Genomic DNA, 1,196 nt, shown 5'->3' on the forward strand with positions numbered 1-1,196 from the left:
CTGTGTTTACCCATGGCTAAAAGAAGTTTCCAAAGCAGTGGATAAGATGGTCTTTTAATTGCTCTTCCACCCTAGGATGTCTCTGCTAAATTCAAAATGATTTCTGTTTGGACACTATTTTATAAAGAGTGTATTAACCTGCTTTAGTAAGGATGGAAGGAATGTGTCTGCAATGATAACCCATATGTTATCAATGTCTAAAAGATTCCAGAAGAACAGCAAAAAAGTAAGTTTATCTAGCTTCACTTAAGATGGAGGAGTCTGAGTTTAGCAATAGCCAAGTTAAGACTAGACCATTCAGCAAACTGACACAAATCAGTATATTTGCACATCAGCTACCAGCTGCCCCCTCTGGCCTTACTCCTTTGGTTCTTTGCCCCCTGCTCTTCCCAGGAGACCCTTCAGCTCAACTTTTACTCATAGGCCTTAGCATCAAATGGTTCCATTAGACCTGGGAGGTGAATTTCAGCTCTTATTTGCAGCCTTGGTTCCTCTTTCCACTGGGTTGACCTTGGCCTATGACACTACTGTCCTCTGGACTCCTTTGCAGATCTCCTACCCTACAGTCACCTTTGTATGAGCTGGGCCCATTCTTAATTATTCTCTCAAATTCCAGTCAAGCTCTCCCCTCTCTGAGACTCTGCCCTGCTCTTAAACTGCCTCTGTGACGGGGCTTCCAGAGATCTCATCACTATGCTGTACTCAACCATCCAGCACCAGCTTACCTCATCCAAGAATGTCTGGCCTGGATGTGCCTGTGCTGGTTGTACCCCTGAGAGCTGCTCCTTCCCTATCTGGATGTCTCCTTCACCTAGGTGTGGGTAATAGTGCTCTCTCTCTGCCTAATCTTTGATTCACTAAAGAATTCTGAACAAGGAAGATTGAAGGAGTTCAGTTGTTGTTTTTGCTATTGTTGCTGATGTTGGTTTTTTGTTTTGTTTTATCTGTCAGGAATGGTTGCAAGTGTATCTCTAACCCAGTTTTAGTTCTGCTGCAGGTCATCTTTCTATTTTGTATCCTAGTTCTGTCTGTGGCCTGTTTTTATTGTTTCTTCCATCTCATGTCCTACTACATAAATGCCAGATGAAAATAAAAGCCTATCATATGTCACCCTTTACACACCAATCAGGGCTCATGTCAGACATAGTCTAGGAATTCACACATATTGGCTCATTCCCACTTCATTACAAACCTGG

The sequence above is a fragment of the Homo sapiens genome, chromosome 6 (assembly GCF_000001405.40).
Source record: "Homo sapiens chromosome 6, GRCh38.p14 Primary Assembly".
Taxonomy (NCBI): Eukaryota; Metazoa; Chordata; class Mammalia; order Primates; family Hominidae; genus Homo; species Homo sapiens.